The sequence below is a fragment of the Homo sapiens genome, chromosome 4, assembly GCF_000001405.40.
Source record: "Homo sapiens chromosome 4, GRCh38.p14 Primary Assembly".
In the NCBI taxonomy this organism is placed as follows: domain Eukaryota; kingdom Metazoa; phylum Chordata; class Mammalia; order Primates; family Hominidae; genus Homo; species Homo sapiens.
The window spans coordinates 32,437,248-32,459,434 of record NC_000004.12 but is presented as its reverse complement, the minus strand read 5'-3'; the positions used below and the strand labels follow the sequence as shown (position 1 = coordinate 32,459,434).

Here is a 22,187-nt window from a genome sequence, read left to right as displayed (position 1 = left end):
TATTACATTACTGTTAAAATTAGATAAGGTTCATAATCAAGTCTAATAGTGAGTTTCATTTTTATAAGTAGGTGGGGAATGTTAAAGAAAATATATTGGATTCTTTAAATTCCTCCCAGATTATAATTTAGACATAAAATAGTGATATATCATCAAAATGATATAATCATTGAAAAATCTATTAGCTTTTTCTTTTTTATTAGAGATAGAAAACTCCAAAATCAATTGACTGGCAGGGTGCAATGCTTTGTGCCTGTAATCCCAGTGCTTTAGGAGGCCAAGGTGAGAGGATGGCTTGAGTCCAGGGCCAGCCTGGGCAACATGGAGAAACCCCATCTCTACAATAAAAAAAAAAAATAATAATAATAATAATTTAGCCGGGCATAGTGGTGCACGCTTGTAGTTCCAGCTTCTCTGGAGGCCGAGATGGGAAGATCGCTTGAGGCTAGGAAGTCCTGGCTTCAGTGAGGTGTGATCGATTCTACCACTGCATGCCAGCCTGGGTGATGGGAGGAAGACCGTGTCTCAGAAAAAAATATCAATTGCCTAAAAAAGAACTGGGATGTACTTAGTAGAACTATGGCCTTTGTTAATTTCATGTTACAAAATGTTCCAGCAAGACTAGTAGTTATGCCTGTTATCATCATTTTTGTTTCAGTCCATGACAATTTCCTTGCCCACTTTTATCATAAAGAGCTGTAAATTTGTTTGTTTCAACCTATCTATTTCAACTTTTTTTTTTGGAGAAAACATGTCTGTCTTCCTTGGGTTTTACATATATTTTTGCACAACATTGTATGTGTGTATATTTATCTCATCCAGTCTAGTAATGGATATGTCTATCATATTAACTCATCAGCGTAATCAATGCCCAAACTTGTACCAATTGGTTAAATCTGATTTGCTTTCCATCGAACAGAAAGGGTCTTCATTTTTGAAGCAGATAAAGCTGTTTCTATACATGGAAATAAATATAAACACAATCAAAAACACATTTCAGTATATATATTTTAATTAGTATTATTAATAACATTCAAATCACAATTAACATGACCTAAGTCTAATATAGAAATAAGTTTTATAAAAGGACAAATCTATATGCTATGTCTTACTACTTAATTTTCAAAAAATACATAGCTAAAATTATAAGATACTTATGAAAAGATAATTGGCATAGAAAAGATGCTATCCCTTCAGGAAATGTGTTGGCATGAGTGTGCCTGGTATTCTGCTTGAAAAAAAAAACTAAGCTTCATATGTAAATATTTAGATATAACTCCATTAATTTTATTATACCTTAAGATCTATTTTTTCTATCTAGTTATGAAAGACAAAGATCTATATTATTTACAATAAATAGCTTTAGCAACTAGTATGTGAATTTAGAGATTTTTAAATTAGAAGATAGACTATAGTAAACAGAGATAAAACAAGAATGGAATAGGTTGTAATTATAAAAAATATGTTATAATTTGATTTGGTCATATAGTTTGTAAGTACCTTTGCAAATAAGAAATATGCTACACATGAAAGAAATTGTATAAAATAGTTAATTAGAGACATGTCTATATCCACATAACTTTTAAAAATATGATACTTTTGAAAACTTCATATGATTGTGTCAGTGTCACTAACCTGAATTGCTTTTGCTGCTTGAGATATGTTTCATTTCAGCAGTCTATGAGAAGAATATAGGTAAGAAAAATTTCTTATGTTTAAATTTGTGGAAAAAAATATTACTTTTTTGTTTTGTTTTTTGAGAGGGAGTTTCACTCTTTGTTGCCTGGAGTGCAGTGGCGTGATCTTGGCTCACAGCAACCTCCGCCTCCCAGGTTCAAGAGATTCTCCTGTCTCAGCCTCCCGAGTAGCTGGGATCACAGGTGCCCGCCACCATGCCTGGCTAATTTTTGTATTTTTAATATAAATATAATAGGGTTTATATATATATTTACATATATATAAATATAAAAATAATATAAATAGGGTTTCACCATATAGGCCAGGCTGATCTCAAACTCCTGTCCTTGGGTGATCCGCCGGCCTTGGCCTTCCAAAGTGCTGGGATTAGAGGCACAAGCCACGGCACCCAGCCAATATCACTTGTTTTTATCAATGCTTTCTTCGCTTTGTTCTCACAACATTCTCTAAGGGCCATATATTACTTGAAAATATTTAGAAAATTGAAGATGTAAAGTCTCTCCTTGCTTATATTCTGGAAATAGTCAATTTAACAATATTCTATCAGGCCAAAATACCCCGTTTCTAACACCATGCTTATGTAGAGAAAGACGGGTTGCCTCAATGTGGTTTGCTGTGCTTTGATTCACCATAAAAACAGTCTTCATTGAAAATAATATTTCCTGTTACCCTTTTGTTTGGTTCCCTGGAAGTTTTTATTCATGAGGTAATATGCTATAATAACATGTCAGGTAAGGGGAATGCCTTTGTTTCGTAAAGTGGGAGAGGTCATTTTGCAAAAGGGGAAGTAACAAAGGAGTGTTAGGATTCAGTAAATATGGAAAAGTATTAGTACACTCTTACTACCTTAGTTTGGTCTGTGCTACTATAACAGGATACCACAGACTGGGTAATTCATGATAAACAGAAATTCATTTGCTCATGATTCTGGAGGATGGGGAGTCCAATATCAATATGCTAGCATCTGGTGTAAGAATTAAGGAAAGAGGAAAGAAACACAAAAGGCGGCTTGCCAGTCAAGACAGATTTATTTTGGAGAAAACAAACCTGAGAGGCTCCTTCTGGCCCAGTTAGGTCAGGGGCACACTCTCTTACAGACTAAGAGTTTTTAAGGATGGGAGAGTTTGTTAGAGGCTCCAATGACAGGCAGAGACACATGTTCAGAAAGACCCACGTGTTATTTTTTGTTACTAACTGTAATTCCTGCTATGAGGATAATAATTAAGCAAAATGCTACAACAATTGAGATTCTCTGTCTGATATTCCACCCTGAGGGCGCTACAATATATAGTCCTACTGCAAATAGTAGAGTGAGTAAAGCAATTCCTGCATGGGTAGCATAGTAAATAATTTCCTTTAAAAAGGGTTTTAATATTTGGCTTAAAAGGAGAGGTAGAAACAACAAAAAGTAGTTGGTGAGGTGGGGTTGAGACTGAGTAAGATGAGTAATTTTTACTTAGTTACTTATCTTTTAGGATTTTCAGCTTAAGATTTCTTTTTTTATTTTATGTATTTATATTTATTTATTTATTTATTTATTTATTTATTTACGTATTTTTGAGACAGAGTCTTGCTCTGTCGCCCAGGCTGGAGTGCAATGGTGCAATCTTGGCTTACTGCAATCTCTACCTCCTGGACTCAAGCGATTCTCCTGCCTCAACCTCCCAAGCAGCTGGGATTATAGGTGCCTGCCACCACGCCCGGCTAATTTTTGTATTTGTTTTTAGTACAGATGGGTTTTCACTACTTTGGCTGGTCTGGAACTCCTGACCTCGTGATCCACCCACCTTAGCCTCCTAAAGTGCTGGGACTACAGGTGTGAGCCACCGCGCCTGGCCTTTATTTTATTTTTTTATATTGATAGGACATTTTCCTGGGCTGTTAGGGGTTTCTTTCTCCACTCTTTAGGCTTTGAGTTGAGTGTGATGTATTCAGGAGTTGACTTCTGTAACAGATATAATTTAAACTCCAGAAGATAATAAAAATTGAAAAACATTAGGCCAGACTAAAATTTAAAACAATTGTGCTATAGCTTTTGCAACATAATTTTCACTCTTCAGTTTCCCGTTTTTATTGGAAGACAAACATGGTAGGATTGGTTTGCTTTATTATTCTTTGCTTAATTATTTGTATACAGTGAAGCAATAATAATAATTTGCTACATAGGCCTTTTAAATCAGCTTTGATGGAACTTCCTTATGTCGAAGGAATTTGAGATAAGACTTGTTAAAGCCAAGTCCAGCCATGGGTTTGTACCATAAAATACCTATGAGTTGGGTGAATTCCTCTCCTCTTGAGGTTTTAAGATAACGTGGGGTTCCTGGCCTGTTGGAAAGTGACATTCTTTACTCACCACAGATCAGAAACCCTGTGTACACAAAATATGAGGCCAGTTTTCCAAGGGCTTTATTGCTTTGTAAGTCAAGTTTGATTTCTTAAAGGAGAGCACATCATTCCAGTTAAAGATGTGGTAAAATAACCAGTTTTTCCAACTGTGTTCTGTTACAAAAGAAAGTAAATTTCTATTGCACTGATGCAAGCAACTATATTGTTGTAATTTAAGAATACTTATAACTAGTTTTTAAATTCTGGAAGAACTAGGCAGAGAGAAACAAACACGATTTAGATTCTATTTATAGGAGTATACTTAGTTGTTAAAGGCTGTAGCTAGTTTAAGACAAGTTCTCTTGAATGAAAAATAAGATAAAGATTAGCAGTGTTCTAAGCAAGAGGTAAAAACTTGTTTTTGTTTTTTTATTAGTTTAGCCAATTTTATTAACTTTTGCTTGATATTTACAAACATTTTAGCTTTTCATGAGTTCTGTACGTTTTGTTGTGCTGTTGCTGTTGTGGGAAACCTGCATTTGAGAGCACTTGCTGAGGTTTCACAGCCTGAATATAAACCATGTTTTGAAGAGAATTAAAACAAAATAACATAGTGTGTAAATAACAAAATGTCCAGTTTGGATACAGTTAGAAACACAATTGACAAAGAAAGTTGGTTATTTTTGTGGTTTACAATAACCCAACATCTGGTAAGAAACTTCTTTCTGTTTCATTACACTGTGGAAGGTGAAGTGGAGAGAGAGAGGGCAAGAGGGGACTGAATTCACTCTTTTGTAATGGCACCAATCCCACTCCTGAGAATAGGGCGCTCATGGCCTAACCATCTCCTGAAGGTCTCACCAGTTAGTACTGTTAAAATGGCACTTAAATTTCAACAGGAGTTTTGGAGGAAATAAACATTCAAACCACAGCACTTCATTTTGAAAAATTTTGCTGTATATATATATCTACCTGTTTGAACACCAATGTTCAAGCAATCTGTACTTAACTTGGTAGTGGTGGAGTTTGTTTGATTTATTTCTTATTGAATAATTCATTAACTATTTAATGAATTAACTTGCAATAATTATCCAATTAATTAACTCAATTCTATTTATTTTCACAAAGTAGAAAACAAGGTTGATCTGTATGTAAGCCTAGGACAAGGTAAATTGATTTTGACAAGAGAATGGGTCAAAGTAAGAAGCTGAAAACATAGGACTAAGTACAAGTACTGATTATTTTCCATTTGACAATTCATTAATCCACTCTTGGTTTTATAAGCTCTCTTAAGGGTGAATATCTTTTCTCTATGAATGGCAAAGGAGTAGAAAAAACAAGCTATAAATATGATATGAATCAAAGAGTGCTGGAAAAGTTACTTTGCCCAATGTCTTCAGTTATAAAAATCTTTGACTTTTTTGTTGTTATAAATTTAGTGAGTACTAGTCACTTAAAGACACAATCTAGAAAAATCCCTTTTCTTCATTAAAATAATCATATTTTCATTCTTTTCATAATTCTTAACATGTTAACAAATTTTTTCACCACTAAGTAATAAGATTGACATGCAGGAAATAAACTCTGAAATCTAGACGATAAAAGTTATCATCTAAGAAGCAGATTCTGTAAGGTTTAGTTTATCTCTAACATAGCTTAAAAAAGTGTATATTAAATATTCTACAACTTTTGGAATATTATAATTAAAGCATAAAATGATAAGCTAAATATTATCATATGTCTACATATATGCATCAGTAAATTTGGTATAACTTGCATGTGCTATACAATAGTCTATAAATTAAAACATTTATTGAACTTTTGTGCCCAAAGGGCTATGTCCTTAAGAACCCTTATTTCAGGAAGGTTCTCACTAATGTAAAATGGTTAGAAATCAGGTCAAAAACTGACCAAACTAAAATTTATCCCATTTGTTCATTGAGCTAAGATGGCTAAAATTAGTCTAGCCTTCTCGGATTTACATTGTACTAATTAATTTAGTGATAATTTCACAACAGATTATTTATTCAGAAGCCACTGGTTGACCCCATCTTGAATAACAGTCACAGACCTCACTCAAAGCTCTGGGCGTCTATTCATTCATTGAGTATATACTCTACCACAGGCATCCACCTTTTTTGGTATCTTGGCTTTATGTATGTGTAATGCTTTTGAAAATGTACCTCATACTTTATTTCTAAAGTGTCATGATCTTAAGATACACTGCGTTGTCAATATTATAATAAAAATTCACAGGTGACCTGATATAATGGATTGGACCAGAATGTCAACACATTTGACACTAGACAAATATGAAAAATAGCCAACTAGACTTACGCTAATTGATAACTATATTTCAAAATTTTTTTCTGTACCTTAAGAATCACCATTACAGTGAGTAAACATTTTGGTCAAACTTAAGTTTATTTTAATGTGAAATATTTTTCTTCCCTTTTTCAGCTATTTTTAATTATAAAGCTAACCCACCAGTAAAAGTGGTTTTGCAACCCACTTGATCTCTAAGTGGATTAGTTACCCAGAAACAAAAGGCATATGATACAATATACATGCTAAAAATAGCTACATAATAGCAGGAGTCTACAAGGTAAGCAATACTATCATTTTTATCAAAAAAGCAAGGTTATATAAAATATTGGAATTTTATTTCTAATTCCAGTACTTCAAGATAGTTACCTGCCCTAATGCTGTCAATTGCCCTCTGTTATCACTATAATTGTATTGGCTCCATGAAATGACAGCAAGAATTTACAATGGTTCTTTTTTTTATATAAGACATGTGCAAAAATAAAGTTGTTGAATCTACTCAAGACCAAGAGCTAACCAAAATCCAAAATCATTTTAATTTATCAAAATTGATGAGAGGGCTTCACTGCCAAAGTCACTGCTGGGTTTTCACAACTCATTGCAATCTGCCACCCCCATTTACATTGAAAAGATAGGAGATTCATAATCAGTGAAGAAAGTGAGATTAATACTTGTAATTATTATGGTGAGATTAATACTTGTAATTATTATGGAATTATTTAGCCTGCTATAGGATTATTATTATTATTAGTGTCATTTGACAATTCTTTCTCATTTTATTAAACACAACTATGAGTAATTTTCCTGCCTAATATCATTCTGTATCAGCTGACCTGCTAGCATATATTCATGGAAATATCCATTAACCACACAGGTAAAATGTTATATTATGATGCTATTGATTCAGTACATGTCACTACCTGATTCTTTAGCTCTCTGGAAATTTAAGTATCAATTAACTGTGTGTTTTCTGGATTCTTTTCAGTATCCAGTATAATATGAAAATATTATTATACTCTTAGAGTTATTATTTTCACCATATTGCACCAGCAATTGCACTTTAATTTTACAACAAAAATATAAATATAAGAGTATATGAATTTTGATCATTTTTATATTACTCTGTCCAGACTCTAAAATTCTATTTTTAGGTGAATATACATCAAATATTTTGATTGAACAACGAATGAGATAGTTCCCAGACATTCTGTTCAGTGTTCCCAAAAGGACTATACAACTCACTTCTTATATTGTTACAGTGTCTTATACCGATCTTATATAGTGTCTTATACATATATTAACATTTTAAATCATCAATAAATGTTATTAAACCTGAGTAAAATGTAAAGTTTTCTCCTTTATGCTTTTATAGCCTCTGTTTGCAGTTTATTTATAGCCTTCTGATAAGTAGAGTCCCTTTGTTTGTGAGAATCTGGACAGCAGTGTCTCCAAGAGCATGTTTAGACCTAGATGTAAGGTTATTGATACCTCTTTTTGCTTGGTTTGTCTTGTCACCAAAGACTGGGACGAGGATTTGAGTAGGGATAACTTATTTGGGAGATTATCTAAGGTAGAAAATGTGAGAAACTAGGAAGAGTGAAACAGAGAAGAAGCAAATCAATCATAGAGGTACGTTATTGATGTTATTGTAATGGGAAAACAATAGGGGCATGCTTCATTGGAATCTTCTGAGTAACCTCCCAACATTATCTCCATGAAGATCTGGAAGCTGACATGTTTATCAATGGTTCCTATTTTCTATTTACTGGGAGTTGTCCTCAGAGGATATTAACTCCTTGTACTTCTGGGCAGTGCTTAGGTTATCCTTCACAAACTTATGTTTTGGAGAAGTCCTAAGATGAGAAATAAGAGTTGGGATGCTACTAGTGTGAAGTAAGCATAATTTCCCACGGTACTGTCACCACAGGTATAGCCAAAGTCAAAGGTTAGGATGTGACATTATAGGTGTTTGCGTTGGTATCATTTTAGGATAATTACTGTATTTGAAATTTTTAAAGATCTCAAGAAATAAAGCTTTACTTACAAATCTATAAATAGAAAAGTTTTATTTTTTATTCGTGTATTTTATGGCAAATGTGCAAAAAGCTACATCAATTGACTTAATATTTAATTGTCAGAGAAAAATTTAAGTGAAAGAACTCTCTGCTAGACTTTTGGAGCAAAAGAAGCTTACATACTCATTTAGAAAAAGAGTGAGAAGTAAGAACTCATGTTGTAATGGGGATTTTCTGAAATGAGTAGATACCTGAACATCTTTAAAGATTTGCTAAAAAATCATTGACTTTCGGTCCTCTGATGATTAGGCAGGAATTTTAAAGATTTTCCAAGAAACTATTATATCTGATTATATAATGGCTGTAAAGGGTGGATGGGGGTAAATAACGTACAAATCCACAAGGACAGAGAATATGAGAGAGAAAGCAATAATCGAATAAGAGGAATCAATACCTTTGAGGAAGATGGTAATTGAACTAGGCAGTGATAATTGAACTAGACAGTGTTTACTGAACTTTGAGACAGAAAAAACAAGACATTAGTTCACAAGGTCTTAAATACATGATAAGCCATGATACCATATGGAATCCTGGGAAGACAGAAACTTGGAATGGGCAGGAGGAACTGTGTATTGAGACATTTGGAGGCAGATGAATTAGAAGACAGCTTGATGAATGTTGTTTGATGACTTCTCTTCCTTAACTTATTCAAGGAATAAAATATCTTTTCACTTCCCCTTCAGGAGACCAGTGGTTTGAAAATAGGTATTTCAGTTAGGATTTACATTTTGCTGCATGCAAGATAAACTGACTACAGTGGTTTAACTATATTTTCTAATTTAACAAGAGGGCTGGAGAGAATAATTTCTGATGTTGCTTCAGACACTTAAGGAAATCAAGTAAAATGTCTTGGGGATTTTTATGGCCTTTTACTTATGGCTGCAAAAATGGCTGCTAGAATTTTAACTAAGCCCAGATTCTGGAAGAAAGAGAGAGATATCAGAGAATGATATATTTTATTGATTAATGCTATATCATAGGGCCATGATCTAATCACAAGGAGTAAGGAAAACATTTGCTCTTGTTTTAGGCCTGTCTGTTGCCAATCTCCCACTGGGTTCTAATATTAAGGAAAAAGGAGACTAATATTGGCCTGATGACTATCAATATCTGCCAGTTCCTCTTTAGTAGCCAAAATCTCTACATGCCATCTTCCCAGGAAAATAAGATAATCCCAACATACACAATGTCATCTCCAGTTTGTATCAAGATAAAATCACAATGAAGTTTGTTTCTCTCCATATGGACAACTGTCTTTCTTTATCATCTGGTTACCTGTAAAACGAAAGATAGTTTGCCTGCCTCTAATATACCCAGATAAAATTGCAGAAGAGATACAAGGAAAAAAATTATAATATTTATTCAGAAAAAGGAAACATCAAAAATACCTAAAAATAGTGGTTTATAGTAATTCTTAAATTCTTTTAGTAAGGAGTAGCATAGAATATGTGCCCATTAGCCAGACAATATGGCAACCCTGACTCTCACTGCTGAAGATTCATTCTTTCTCTGGTACCTGAATGCTACAGCTGAGAATTACAGTAGATGATGCCTTCCCTTGGGGTGATCCTGTTTTCACAGACACATTACTACTGAAGGAAATGTGGGGGCACTGGATTGCTTTAAGGATTCATTTACTATATCAGTTTTTAATTAATTTGAAGTGGGTTTCAATTTGTACAAAAATTAGTAGAACTCTAACTTAGTTTCCATTGCTAATTGCCATGTGCTAATAATCAAAGCCACTGATCTCGACTGTTGGAACTCTGGAATACTAATGATTCTCTAATTTTTTGTTTAACCTAAGAGCCTCATGTTTTACTCATGCTGCTTTAAAGTAATCGAAAAAAAAAAATAAGCTGCAATGGGACAGTAACACCCTTAAGATCAGCTTATTTTAATGTACAAAATTCCTTTTACTGGGAAATAATACTTAAGGAAAGACCTTTGAGACAGTTCTGGAGAATCAACTTAAATTTAAGTGGCAAAAATTTATGACTTGCCTAAATGCACAGGGAACCAAATAATGGTACACTCTCAGTCAATTTACATTGAGAGGCCACTGAGTGAGAGTACTCCTCTAAGCACTATTTTATTTTCTTCTCTGTTGGCTAATTCTAATTCAAGTTTTTCTCTTTTTAAATAGTGTGTAGTGCAAATTGGCAGTAGACAACAATCACATGCTAATAGTCTACCTTTTTCTACCATTTTCCCCAAAAGTATTAGCACCCCTATGCTATTAAGGCTGCTCCCGTGATAAAATTGGTGAAGATGATGATTTCATTCTATGGTTATGCTAAAATGTATTTGGTTTTCCAAAATTATAAATACATGATTATCATAAAAATATAAAATACTCAACTGTCAAGAATTTTTATGCAACTCTTTAATTAATGAGATAACCAGTAAGATGTTAAAATTGATTCACATAAAACTTTGACTTGCAGAAATTTATGTTTTCTAGTGGAAATAATTTAATAGCATTATCATTAACAGGAATTAGTTGCATTGCAATCAGTTTTTATAACTGCTATCTCTGCAGGGTTGTAAATAGCCTTGTCAATAGCAAGCCAATAAACAGCGCACCCTATAGAATCAGATAATCCCCAGATATCCTGCTAGACAATGCCCTGGGCTTCCCAAAGAGAAAACCCCAGAATTTATTTTGCCCAAGTGTTGGAATCTAAAAAAAAAATTCATAGTCTGTACCCATTTTCTAAGCCTAGTCCTTCAGTCCATCCCTTGAGTTGACGAGCAACCCGGTATCTGACTAATTGGTTATTTCTGTGAGTGGTTCTCAGGTTAATTTGCCAGTTAGTGCTTCTTGTTAACCCCCGAAAACCCTAACTGGTTAAGACAACATTATTAACATTTTCAAAGCTCTCTATGATCATCACTACATTGTAATTCATAATAATAATTTATTATAAATAATTCTGACAAAAATACACAATAGCTGCCCAGCAGTAGAGAAAGCACATTTGAATACATCAAATTTGAAAATGGTAAATGAGACAGAAAATATGGCAAAGCATTTAAATCATCTGTTAACATACTGAAGTATTACATATATTTGCTTTATTTCTAGTAATGTTAATGCAACATCATTAAATGAGGTGTTTTCATGAACCATACTTTTTTTCTAATGCATTGCTTGTGCTAATTAATTCCATTTTACCAAAAAACTGCAAGTATATTGTGAGATTATAGTCTATATTTTGCAGATGAGAAAACTGAGATTTAGGAAAACAGAGAATATGAGCTAAAATTCCTCTGTTAGCAAGATATAACAGTAGAAATATCTGTTTTTCTTCTCATTTGGTCAAAAGAATATTTAAAATTAGTTCTACAATGCCTTTAAGGGCTTGGGGAGGTAGTTTAGAATTATGTTTAAGTATTCAGTCTATGATGTCAATACCTTGGCTTAAGATCTTCCTAACTCTGTTATTTAGAACAAGTTATTTAACCTTTTTAAGCCTGAAAATCCTCATCAGTAAAATAGGAACAATGATAGTTTCTAAACAAGAGAAATGTTTTGGAAGTTAAATAAGATGATGAATGCAAGGCTAAGTATAATGCATTTGTAAGCCCTCAAGAAATGATTACAACATCATTTTATAAAAGATTATTTCTAGCAGACAATATTGCTTCAAAATATTTTCTTTATAACAACAGGAATTTCTTTCAGCCAGTCAATACCAATATTACTCTTCATTCTTTTCTCAGTTTATCCCTTCCTAACATGAGTAAAGAGGTTACTTAGGTTCTTTAGAGGTTATGAGGTTAAGATGCAAGAGGTCTGATTAGTTTTTCAAGGGCAATTTGATCACTCGCATCATAAAGAAACTCTTTTTATTATCACACTCTAGTTCCAAGTACTTTGAATTTACAAAATAGATTACCGGGTGTGTCATTAGTGAGAACTCTATCCTCGTTTTGAAATCTTAGGGAATTGAGCTGAGGATGCAAAGAAGATTTGGGTATACGGCATAAAAACTTAAGAAACTTCATGGGAGTTACAATGAGCAGACTATCAGGTGATTTCTGCTGTTAAGACAGGGGATTCTAGGTATCCTGATTTCAGAGACAGGTCAAGGTAAGTAAGTAAAGTGATGAGATTTCGGAAATTGGAGGTCAGTGATAATTTTGAGATCTAAAGGGTGCATGCATCTCGAGCTATCTTTGTGCCTAATGGCTAAGGTTGTTCCTGGTTCCACTGGAGGGAAAAATTACCACAACACTAGAGGAATGGTAAGGTCTACGTTGGAGCCAAATCTCAGTGGTTTCTTCAATACCCACATCCTACAGCTTCCTCTAAAAGTCAGAATGTGCTGTTACTCTTTCAAATATGAATACATTGTGACACGTGCATCTTTAAAAATAACAAAACACTCTGCAAAGTCATCTACTTTATTTTCCTGTTTCCATAAGTTTCCAACACAAACAAAGCCGACGGTCTCAACATTTTAATATGGTCACAGTTCTGGAAAGATGGAGGATGATTAGAGTCATCAAAATGTGGGGTGCTAAAATGTATGACAGGGAAGTGGCTACTATCAGGAATCAGTGCTTTGATCAGGTGGCTTTGAAGAGGAAAGAATGGAATGAATGCCACATCCCAAGTGGAAAAATACAAGGCAGTCATAGGAGTTCTGTAAGATATCTGCAGCACCCAATAACTTGCTTGATTCAAAAGACAAGGAGTCATGGTTAAATATCCACTTATGATTCGATTGGCATCACAATATCAGTTTGCATCAGATATGTACTATTGTTCTGACTATTACTGGAAGCTTCTGATTGTACTCGGGATATGTGTACCTTGTGAACATATGCTATTTTTAGCTAATAAATTTCCCCCTCTCTGCCCCTGGGATTTTTATTATGGTTTGTTTGCTTTTGTTTGCTTCTTTTTTGTAATGTTTCAGACTATCTGAAAACTGTAAAATGACTATAAAAAAGCCACTGTAGGCCGGGCACGGTGGCTCACACCTGTAATCCCAGCAGTTTGGGAGGCCAAGGCGGGCGGATCGCAAGGTCAGGAGTTCAAGACCAGCCTTGCCAACATGGTGAAACCCTGTGTCTACTAAAAATACAAAAATTTGCCGTGCATGGTAGCGCGCGCCTATAATCCCAGCTACTCGGGAGGCTGAGGCAGGAGAATTGCTTGAACCTGGGAGGTGGAGTTTGCAGTGATCCGAGATCACACCACTGCACTCCAACCTGGGTGACAGAGCAAGACTACATCTTAGGGAAAAGAAAAAAAAAGCCATTGTAAAGGACTATAGAAAATAATTCCTTGTTAAATATCACATTTACTTGTATATTCCTTGTTTGAATTTATTTTTTCTCAAAATGTCTTTATCAATTTGAATTTTTTTCCATTATAAAATTTATTCTTGAGTCTGTCAAGGTTTTCATCACCAGTAGCCCTCTGAAGCGTTTGTCAAAAGAATTGAAAAATAAGAAAGATGTGAATGAAGCTGTTTGCCAAATACAAAAGGAAGACACTGAAGCATCACTCATACTCTTACTTCCACTTCTAAGCCTTTAGATGTTAGATCTTTGAACATTTTGCTTCTAGCAAAAATCCCTAGGTAATTCTCACTGTGAGAAACAACTTACTTTTATAATTTTCCATCACTGTAACATATGATGTTTTCATTTAAAGTCTAATTTTTTTAATTAATAAAAAATACATTTTTTAAACTTCTGAACTGTACCAATGTTAGGAAGTTTCATAACGTTGAATCTATATAATTTTTTAATAGTTTTAAACCTTTGTTTCTAGTATATTTCTTATCAATAACATGTTGAGTGACTATAATATAATAGCCATTGAGGATAAAATAGAACCTAGCAGGCACTTCTTACCTCCAGGAAGTTGAGAATCTATTGAGGGAGTCAAACAATTCACTCATTTAGCGAATGCCTGGTCTGGGTTGAGCACAATTCTAGTTAAGCAAAATTCTAGATATTGGGAATAAAAATGGAAGATGAGGCAAGCTAATTGCCAGCCCTGATAAAGAATCATTTTCATGGGAGGAACATATAATAGAGAAGCCAAGTGTGAAAAAAAAAATGCAGTTTTTAAAATAGTGATGCATATTTTGAAATAAAGCAGATAAAAAGGATAGTAGTGATTGAGGAGGGGTCTTTTAACTGAGTGGTCAAAAAAAGCCTCGCTGACGAAGTCAGCTTTGAACAGATTTTTGAATGATATCACATATAAAGCGACACAAAGATCTCTGCGAGGGGTAGCGGGGAGGCGGTTAGTGAAACTCCGTCTCTACCAAAAATACAAAAAATTAGCCTGGTGCGGCAGTGGGCGCCTGCAATCCCAGCTACTCGGGAGGCTGAGGCAGGAGAATCGCTTGAACACAGGAGGTGGAGGTTGCAGTGAGCTGAGATCGCGCCGTTGCACTCCAGCCCGGGCAACAGCGCGACACTCCGTCTCAAAAAAAAAAAAAAACAAAACAAAAAAACAAAGAATTGTAAAGGCTCTGAAGTCACAATACAGACTGAAAGTTTCCATAACAAGGAAAATTCTAACCAAGAACAAAGAGACATAACTAACTGAGGCTTGAGAAAAAGTGACGGACTCCCTGTGGAATTGATACTTAATTTATTAACTCTAAAGAATAAGTTGGACTTAGTCTCCACAGTCCCAGACCTCAAGAACCTCATATTCCACAAGACAAACAAACATATAGACAGATGCACATGCAACAAAAATTAACAAAAAGTACAACATAGCATAATTGTGATGACAATGATACACATAGTAAATAAGTGGTTTATATGAAGGGAAGGATCATAAACAGTAGGCAGTTAGCCACGACTTCACAGGCGTGTCACTAAAATCGTGGAGAAAGAGCAATCCATGAACATCTTAAATGAAAATTCTGGAGCTGTGTTTTAAAGCATGAGTCGGAGTTTTCCAAACTAATTAAAGAAGATGCCTGGACTATATGAGGCACAAAGCTGACAAGGTGTGGAAAAAAAAAAAACAAAAAACTGCAAAAGTTTTGATGTGTATTGGCTGCTGCTTCCAGTAATGGTGATTTAAATACTTAGCGCAAAACCTCTTGCTGAGGACAATTAAAAAGCTACTAAAAATCGAGCAAAAAATAATTTCAAATAAAAAAATTCTACATGTTAATAAAAATAAGTGAAGCATTATTGGGCCAAGATACAGAAACTAATAAGAACTTAGAGGTTTATGCCCTAAAAGCTACTTTTGCTGTGAGAGCACTTGTCCTTCCTGAAGAACCAGCTGAGACACTCTGATCTGTGCCTTTGATAGATTCTTCAGAGGCAAAACTCAAAACTCAGAAGCAATCAAATTTGAGGACTTTGGTTTAACCCAAATTTAAGTGGAGATCCCAAAAGCAGAACCAGATGCAAAAGTAAAGAAATCCACACAGTCTAGCTTGTTTCCTGTGTGATCTGAGGAAGTCAAGTGTTGAACTTATAATGTGATTGCAAAGTAGAGTCCCAGGTGCAAAAGAAAAAAACATTTCAGGAGGCTGAAAACATTACTGTAGGCCATAGTGATTTCTAACGACAACAAAATCATTTCCTATATGTCTTAGGCCCAGCCAAGGGAAACAAGGTTCCTAAGGAAAGAAGATGCTGTTAGTAAAATCCAGAGGAGGCAATAAAATTAAGATATTAAAATAATCTGGCACAGATTATAAAGTAGAATACACTTACTATACACAAAGCAATGAAGGTATGGTATGAAAATATTAGCAGAAAACTGAAAACTAAAAATGATGTCAAAGTCAAATTTTTGTAAAAGGACCAGACAGATATTCTAGAAGCTAAAGATATGATAGCTGATTTTAAAACTAAACCAAACACAAAGCGAATTATAAAAATAAATGCGGAAAGTTTGAAACAAAAAACACATATAAACGTAAAACAGAGAAGGCCTACAAAGCAAAAAGTTCACTCAGAAAGTACAAGGACCTCTTAAAATTAAAAAAAAAAAATAAAGACAACACTATACTAAAATGTCAAGAGATTTGGACATATACTTCACAGGAAGGGTAATCCAACTGCCTCCTCAAACATAAAAATTATCTTAACTAGAAATCTGGAAATATAAATTAAAACCTACTATTAGATACTACTATATATCCATGATATTGGCCAAGAGTAAACAGTCTAAGAAGAATGTGGAATAACTGACAGTGCTCTTATTTTGCTGGTGGGAGTACATACTGATACAAGTGTCTTAGGTAAATTGGAAATACTTAGAAAACATGAAGATGCTTATAACCTCTGGCCCACTCCTAAAAATATACCTTAAAATGGAACATATTTTTACAACTGAGTATGCATAAGGATGATGACTATAGCAGCTTTGTTCATAACAGCCAAATAAATTGTGATATATTTATACAATTGTATATTAAACAGTGATGCACATTAACAAATTGGGAGAAGGGATTAGATTTATTTCAGGAAGAGGTCTTCTATAGTGCTATGCTGTATTTCTCAAGATGTCAGTTATATGAGCTTTCAATTTATTTTTGAAATATATATGTCATATATGAAGTATATATGAAATATAATTATAGAAAATAAATATATAAATGCATATATATATCAGATTACGCATCAGTGTTCAAGTTTCCATTTTTTCCTCAGTTTTGTAACATTTTGTTAAACTGACCTGATCTAGAATTGTTGATCATTTTTGTCTAAATTATTCAATTTTACCAAAGTCCCTTTCAAAACTTACTCCCTAAAACTTGATAAAATAATCTGTTGTTATCTCACCAGAATTGAGCAGAGTTGTACCCATCAACTAATTATATCAACCTCTACCCTATTAGATGCATGTCTGTTTTAATTCTTGTGGAGCTCTTGGTTGAATAAATTTTCTACAGCTTTATTTTTATGATGTTTAAAGCTATTGCCTCATGAACCCAATTAAAAATGAAAACAAGCCAAGAATTTACATTCTATTATAGAATATGCAGTGTAAACAGTAATGTCCTGAAGTTCTAAAGCCTAGTGTTACGTGTTGAATGTGCCTTTTGCTAGCCATGTAACCATAAACCAGTTATCTAAATGCCGTTAATCTCAGTTTTCTGACTCATGAAATGGTGCTAATAATACTATGCAGAGTTGTATTAATTTAATGAACCATAGAACATAAAAGTTTCACATTTGATGCTAAAACAATAGCTAACATTATACATACACCTAAGTATTTAAATAATGGTAATTCAGTTGTTCAAAATAAATTGTCATATTTATGGGACACTTGGTTGACTATAAGCATACATTTACCAAAATATATTTCATTCTAGTTTACTCTCTTTAAGAATATAAATTCCATAATTCAATACAGACCACATTATGAATAATAAGAGATATAGTAAATACTCTGATTTTTTTCTTACATTTATTTTTAAGGCAAAATCCTTTACTGTTGAATATAAAGAAGCTTTAATAAGCCTGCCTTGTTCCAAATTAGTGTGATGCTTTCTTATAAAATTAGATTATAGAACTGTGTGAAATAAATTCATACAGTTAATACATTTATCTTTAAGAGACCAGATGGTCAATTTAGCGTTTTTTAAAAAGATTTAAAATTTAAACCTTAAAGCCAAGTTCTTTCAGCATTATTTACAGTCTGTCTCTCATGCACCATAAATATTGCTTTAACTTAAATTAAATAATATGTGCATTCACAGTATACATAACTTAAATGAATTTTATACCATAGTTTTTCATGGTTAGTTGCTGTTTCTTCTTCACTTACTTTTTTTGAAAATAATAAATGTAATTTTACAAAAACAAATATTTATTAAACTTTGCTTCGGCTTATACTGGATCATATTGTATTTTATATCTGCTGATACTGTCAGTTTGTTTTTAAGATTTCATTTCTCTTTAACACAATAATTATTAATATCTATTTCCTTTTCAATTTTATAAATGCCACTACATTTGTGACGTCAACTACAAAGTCAATTTAAAAATCTAGAACATAAACTCCATGATGGCAAGGATTTGTCTTGTTCATGACACAAATAATTGGCACTAAATGGATCTTTGTTGATTGAATGAATGAATTATGTGTCTGACAGTAGCGGAGCTGACAGAAGCAGAGATGAAGGAGAAAATGTAATGACTGTCAAACGGGTGAACCCGAAGATGAAAAGACACTTTTAGCTTAGTTACTTTGATATTCACTCTAAATAACAGTCCGATTTTGCATGAGTTTTTGGAATGAAAACAGCTCTACTCCTAAATAATAAATGCATTAATTGCGCTCCTTATGAGTCCTGACAGCAGTCAGCTTTGTGGGTTTCTGATTTGATTCCAAGGAGTTGAGTGTCTCTCTGATTTATGTAATAGGCAGCAGTGTCATGAGGAAAGGCTTATAGGATAAAACTTCTTGAAGACAGGGACACAGATGGCTGCCTGTGAGTGTGTGGTGAGTGTTAATGAAAATGCACTGAACGGTGAAGGAAGGCCAGCAAACAACCACAGAAAGGTGCCCAGAGTATTTTTTTAAAGATATACTAGATACTTTTTTTTCCCTTCATGGACAGTTTTGCTCTGGCTATCTGCAAACACTTAAGGAAATTATGAACACAAGGTGGGCATTAAAGGATTAAAAACAACAACAACAAAAGAATTGATTAAATTATAAGGGTTCTTCATTGGTTTCAGCCATGCTTCTTTATGCGTAACTGCTTACCAATAAAATTATACAGGTGATTTTTTTCAAAGCGACCCTTTCAGACCAGGCTGTTAAACCAATACAAAGGGCCTGATGCAATGCTTTATATTGTCATCCAGATTTTCTACACTGATTATCCTGAAAACCATCCGTTCATAAATGTTCATACATTGAACTACCATATGCTAATTATAACCATACTCACTATATAATTAGTTTACTACTCTATTTTTATCCTACCAATTATTCCATCTCTTCAGTGTTTTGTGTCTCTTGTTTCTCACAGAAGTCAATTCATCACATATTAGGCAAAATGAAACAAAGAGCCATGGTCGTTCAGAAGGTGATTTGGTAAGTGTTTTTCAGAGAACATATTATGTCACAGACAAGGTATTTCTATAACATCATTCTAACACTTTCGTGTAATACTGCATACTTAGTAAGCTTTCATTCAACAGCCTGTCTTTACACATTTTTCTAATTCAAGAGTCAACCCTTCATAGCCCAGGCAAAGCCCACTCATTTTATGTGAAAATTGCTTTGACTGCCCAGTCCAATTTTGCTTTTAATTCACTGTTCCGGAAATCTAAAAGGACTTTTGGAATATTTTATAAAACGACATTTTGTCCCCCTAACCTATGGAGTCTGTATAAGTATTTGTTCAGAGATCTAAGCAGGAGTTTCAAACTGACAAAGAGCAAACAAACAAACAAACATATTGCTTGCTCCTTGTTATTCATCATTATTTTATCTACAGGAACCGCAAAAGCCAAGTCACAAAAGTTTGTTTTTTTCATTTTTTTTATTGGACTGTGCTCTTTTAAACTCATCTGGTGCCATGGACATAAATCCAAAGCAATTCATATAACACAACAATTCAAGGTGCTGCCCTTCAGAAATTTCACTGGTGGGGAGTCTTAGTCTCTAAAGCAGGTGAGTTTTGGAATCAAAACTGTGATCCCAGGCTTTGTTAACTGTTAAGGGCAGTCATCTCCAATCTACATAGTATCTGGCTTCCCATGCCCAATCATCTAATGCATCTTATTTTTATGTCCGTAACTCATAAAAAGCCACCCCTGTATTCCAGACACTCAGTCAAACCACCTTAAGAAACATTTTTTTAAGTATACACATAGTCCAAAAAAACTTAGTGTGCTAGAAACGTAGCAATTCCATAGCGGGAGCTGCATATTGCAGTACCTCTGCTTCCCTGTCTTTAGCTCCGTAACAACATGGCTATTACCAAGGAGGCAATGCTTTTCCTTTCAAAGAATTCTCTTAGCAGATCCTTAGCCAAAAAGCCAGAGAGCTGGCCTTCTGTTGATACATTGTTCTGCAACAGCTTTCAAAATTATTATTTTCAGTTGTTTTAGTACTTGTATCTATTAACTAAGATCTTTGTTGATTATGCCTGTTGCACTATATCAGGGACAAAATGTCAGAAGATAGAACATGAGCCAATCTTCCTTTCTACTGTACTTGTCCTGTTCCTGAATATATGAGCTCGCTTTTATTAGTGCTTCCTTGTGAAGTTCTGTAGTAGAAACGATAACGCCAACTATTTTTTTCCCTCAAAGTCAGAACAACTGATAGATGTGATTTATACTCAGTATAATCCAAAACAGTAGAATTTGGCACTCTAGTGAATTTTGGTAAATAAAACATCGCATGGGGCCTATGTCAATTATTTGGTAGTTTGGGCCAATTAACGTCTCTAAATGTTGGATACAATTTCTTCAAACGTCAAAAGCCTCACAAAATATTGAGCTTCTCACAATTTCTGGTGGGTGCAAGGCAAGAAATTCAGTTGATTCTTGAACAACGTAAGTTTGAATTGCCTGTGTCCCCTTATACATATATTTTTTTCAACAAAAAATAGTATTCATGGGATTTGAAACCAATGTATATGAGAATGGTTGACTTTAGTATACATAGGTTCCACAGGGGTGACTGAAGATCTTGATTATGCACTGATTTAGGTATATGTGGGGATCCTAGAACCACATATATCTGTGCATACCACAGGACAACTGTACATCACTTACTGAAAGGACGGAGTCCAGGTTGGCCACAGACCAAGAAAAATCCTGAATTCACTCTTTGGTGAGGACTTTGCGCTTTGCAACAATTATATTTCTTTCTAAACTAAATATTATAAATAGTTTTAAAATATTTTAGTAAAAAGTAAAACAGTTAATTTTCTCATCAGTAATAATACAGCATCATTTACAACAAGCTACCCTTCTCTTATGGATTAAACTGTGCTGGCACCACAAAACCAATAGAGAAAAATCACTTTTTTTCTGATCTTAATAAGCTTCTGTCAGTCTCCATGAGCCATCTGCTTTTCAAACCTGCCAAATCAGGCCCTTTTAAAAAGAATTAGTTAATTATTAATTCAATTTTATCTTTTTCTAAAACCACTTTAAGTTTTCACTGAAATATGCCTTTTTGCCTTCACATGTGCTTTATACTGATGGATCCTTAAGTGGTTGATACTAGCTCTGGCATCATCTAGAAAATAAAAATTCTAGAAAATAAATTATCTTTGTTGCATAAGTATTATATATGTATTATATTGTCCATTGGATTTCATCGATCTTATGCTTATTCATTAAAAATATTTCGAGTAAAGTTATTTATATATTTATATAAAATACGCTTTATAATTATGTGAACTAGTTAAATTTGTATTTTGCTATTGGGAAAGTTTTTGAGATATACACTGGATTGTTGAAGTAGGATTTAAGAATTGAGTTGGGAATCATTAATTTACAATTCATTCTGCACATTATAAAAGCTGATAAATTGGTAAATTCAGTTCACGGAGGTAGCTTACTTAATGAAATGCAGGCCCCTTAACCTTTTTGTAATTTAAATTACAACTGGGGATAAAATAATACCTATAATTAATTAATAATAAGGTACAAACTGAGTTTAATCAGGGAACTACCACACCTTTATCTTTATAAGTTCTTACAGTAATTTGCAAAGTAGCTTATTATTATGTCACTTTTACAGATGGGGAGATTTGAAGTTCAAAAATTAGTTTCTAA

At 33.8% G+C, this 22,187-nt stretch overlaps 1 long non-coding RNA gene across 1 annotated transcript in view, besides 2 other annotated features; it reads left to right on the top strand.

Moving 5' to 3' along the window:
• Nucleotides 1-22,187, top strand: part of LOC107986223 (uncharacterized) — a 123,399-nt gene that overhangs the window by 101,032 nt on the left and 180 nt on the right. Inside the window, exon 3 of the long non-coding RNA XR_001741503.1 lies at nucleotides 19,418-19,482. This is a non-coding gene — a long non-coding RNA (uncharacterized LOC107986223). The remainder of the gene's footprint in view (nucleotides 1-19,417; nucleotides 19,483-22,187) is intronic.
• Nucleotides 1,016-1,185: an enhancer, noted in NCBI's record as "experimental_78443 CRE fragment used in MPRA reporter constructs". NCBI's record gives its function as "activates a minimal promoter by MPRAs in K562 erythroleukemia cells, with activity observed for both the introgressed and non-introgressed 4:32459957 variant alleles {active_cell/tissue: K562}" and the evidence as "EXISTENCE:reporter gene assay evidence [ECO:0000049][PMID:34662402]".
• Nucleotides 11,866-12,035: an enhancer, noted in NCBI's record as "experimental_78431 CRE fragment used in MPRA reporter constructs". NCBI's record gives its function as "activates a minimal promoter by MPRAs in K562 erythroleukemia cells, with activity observed for both the introgressed and non-introgressed 4:32449107 variant alleles {active_cell/tissue: K562}" and the evidence as "EXISTENCE:reporter gene assay evidence [ECO:0000049][PMID:34662402]".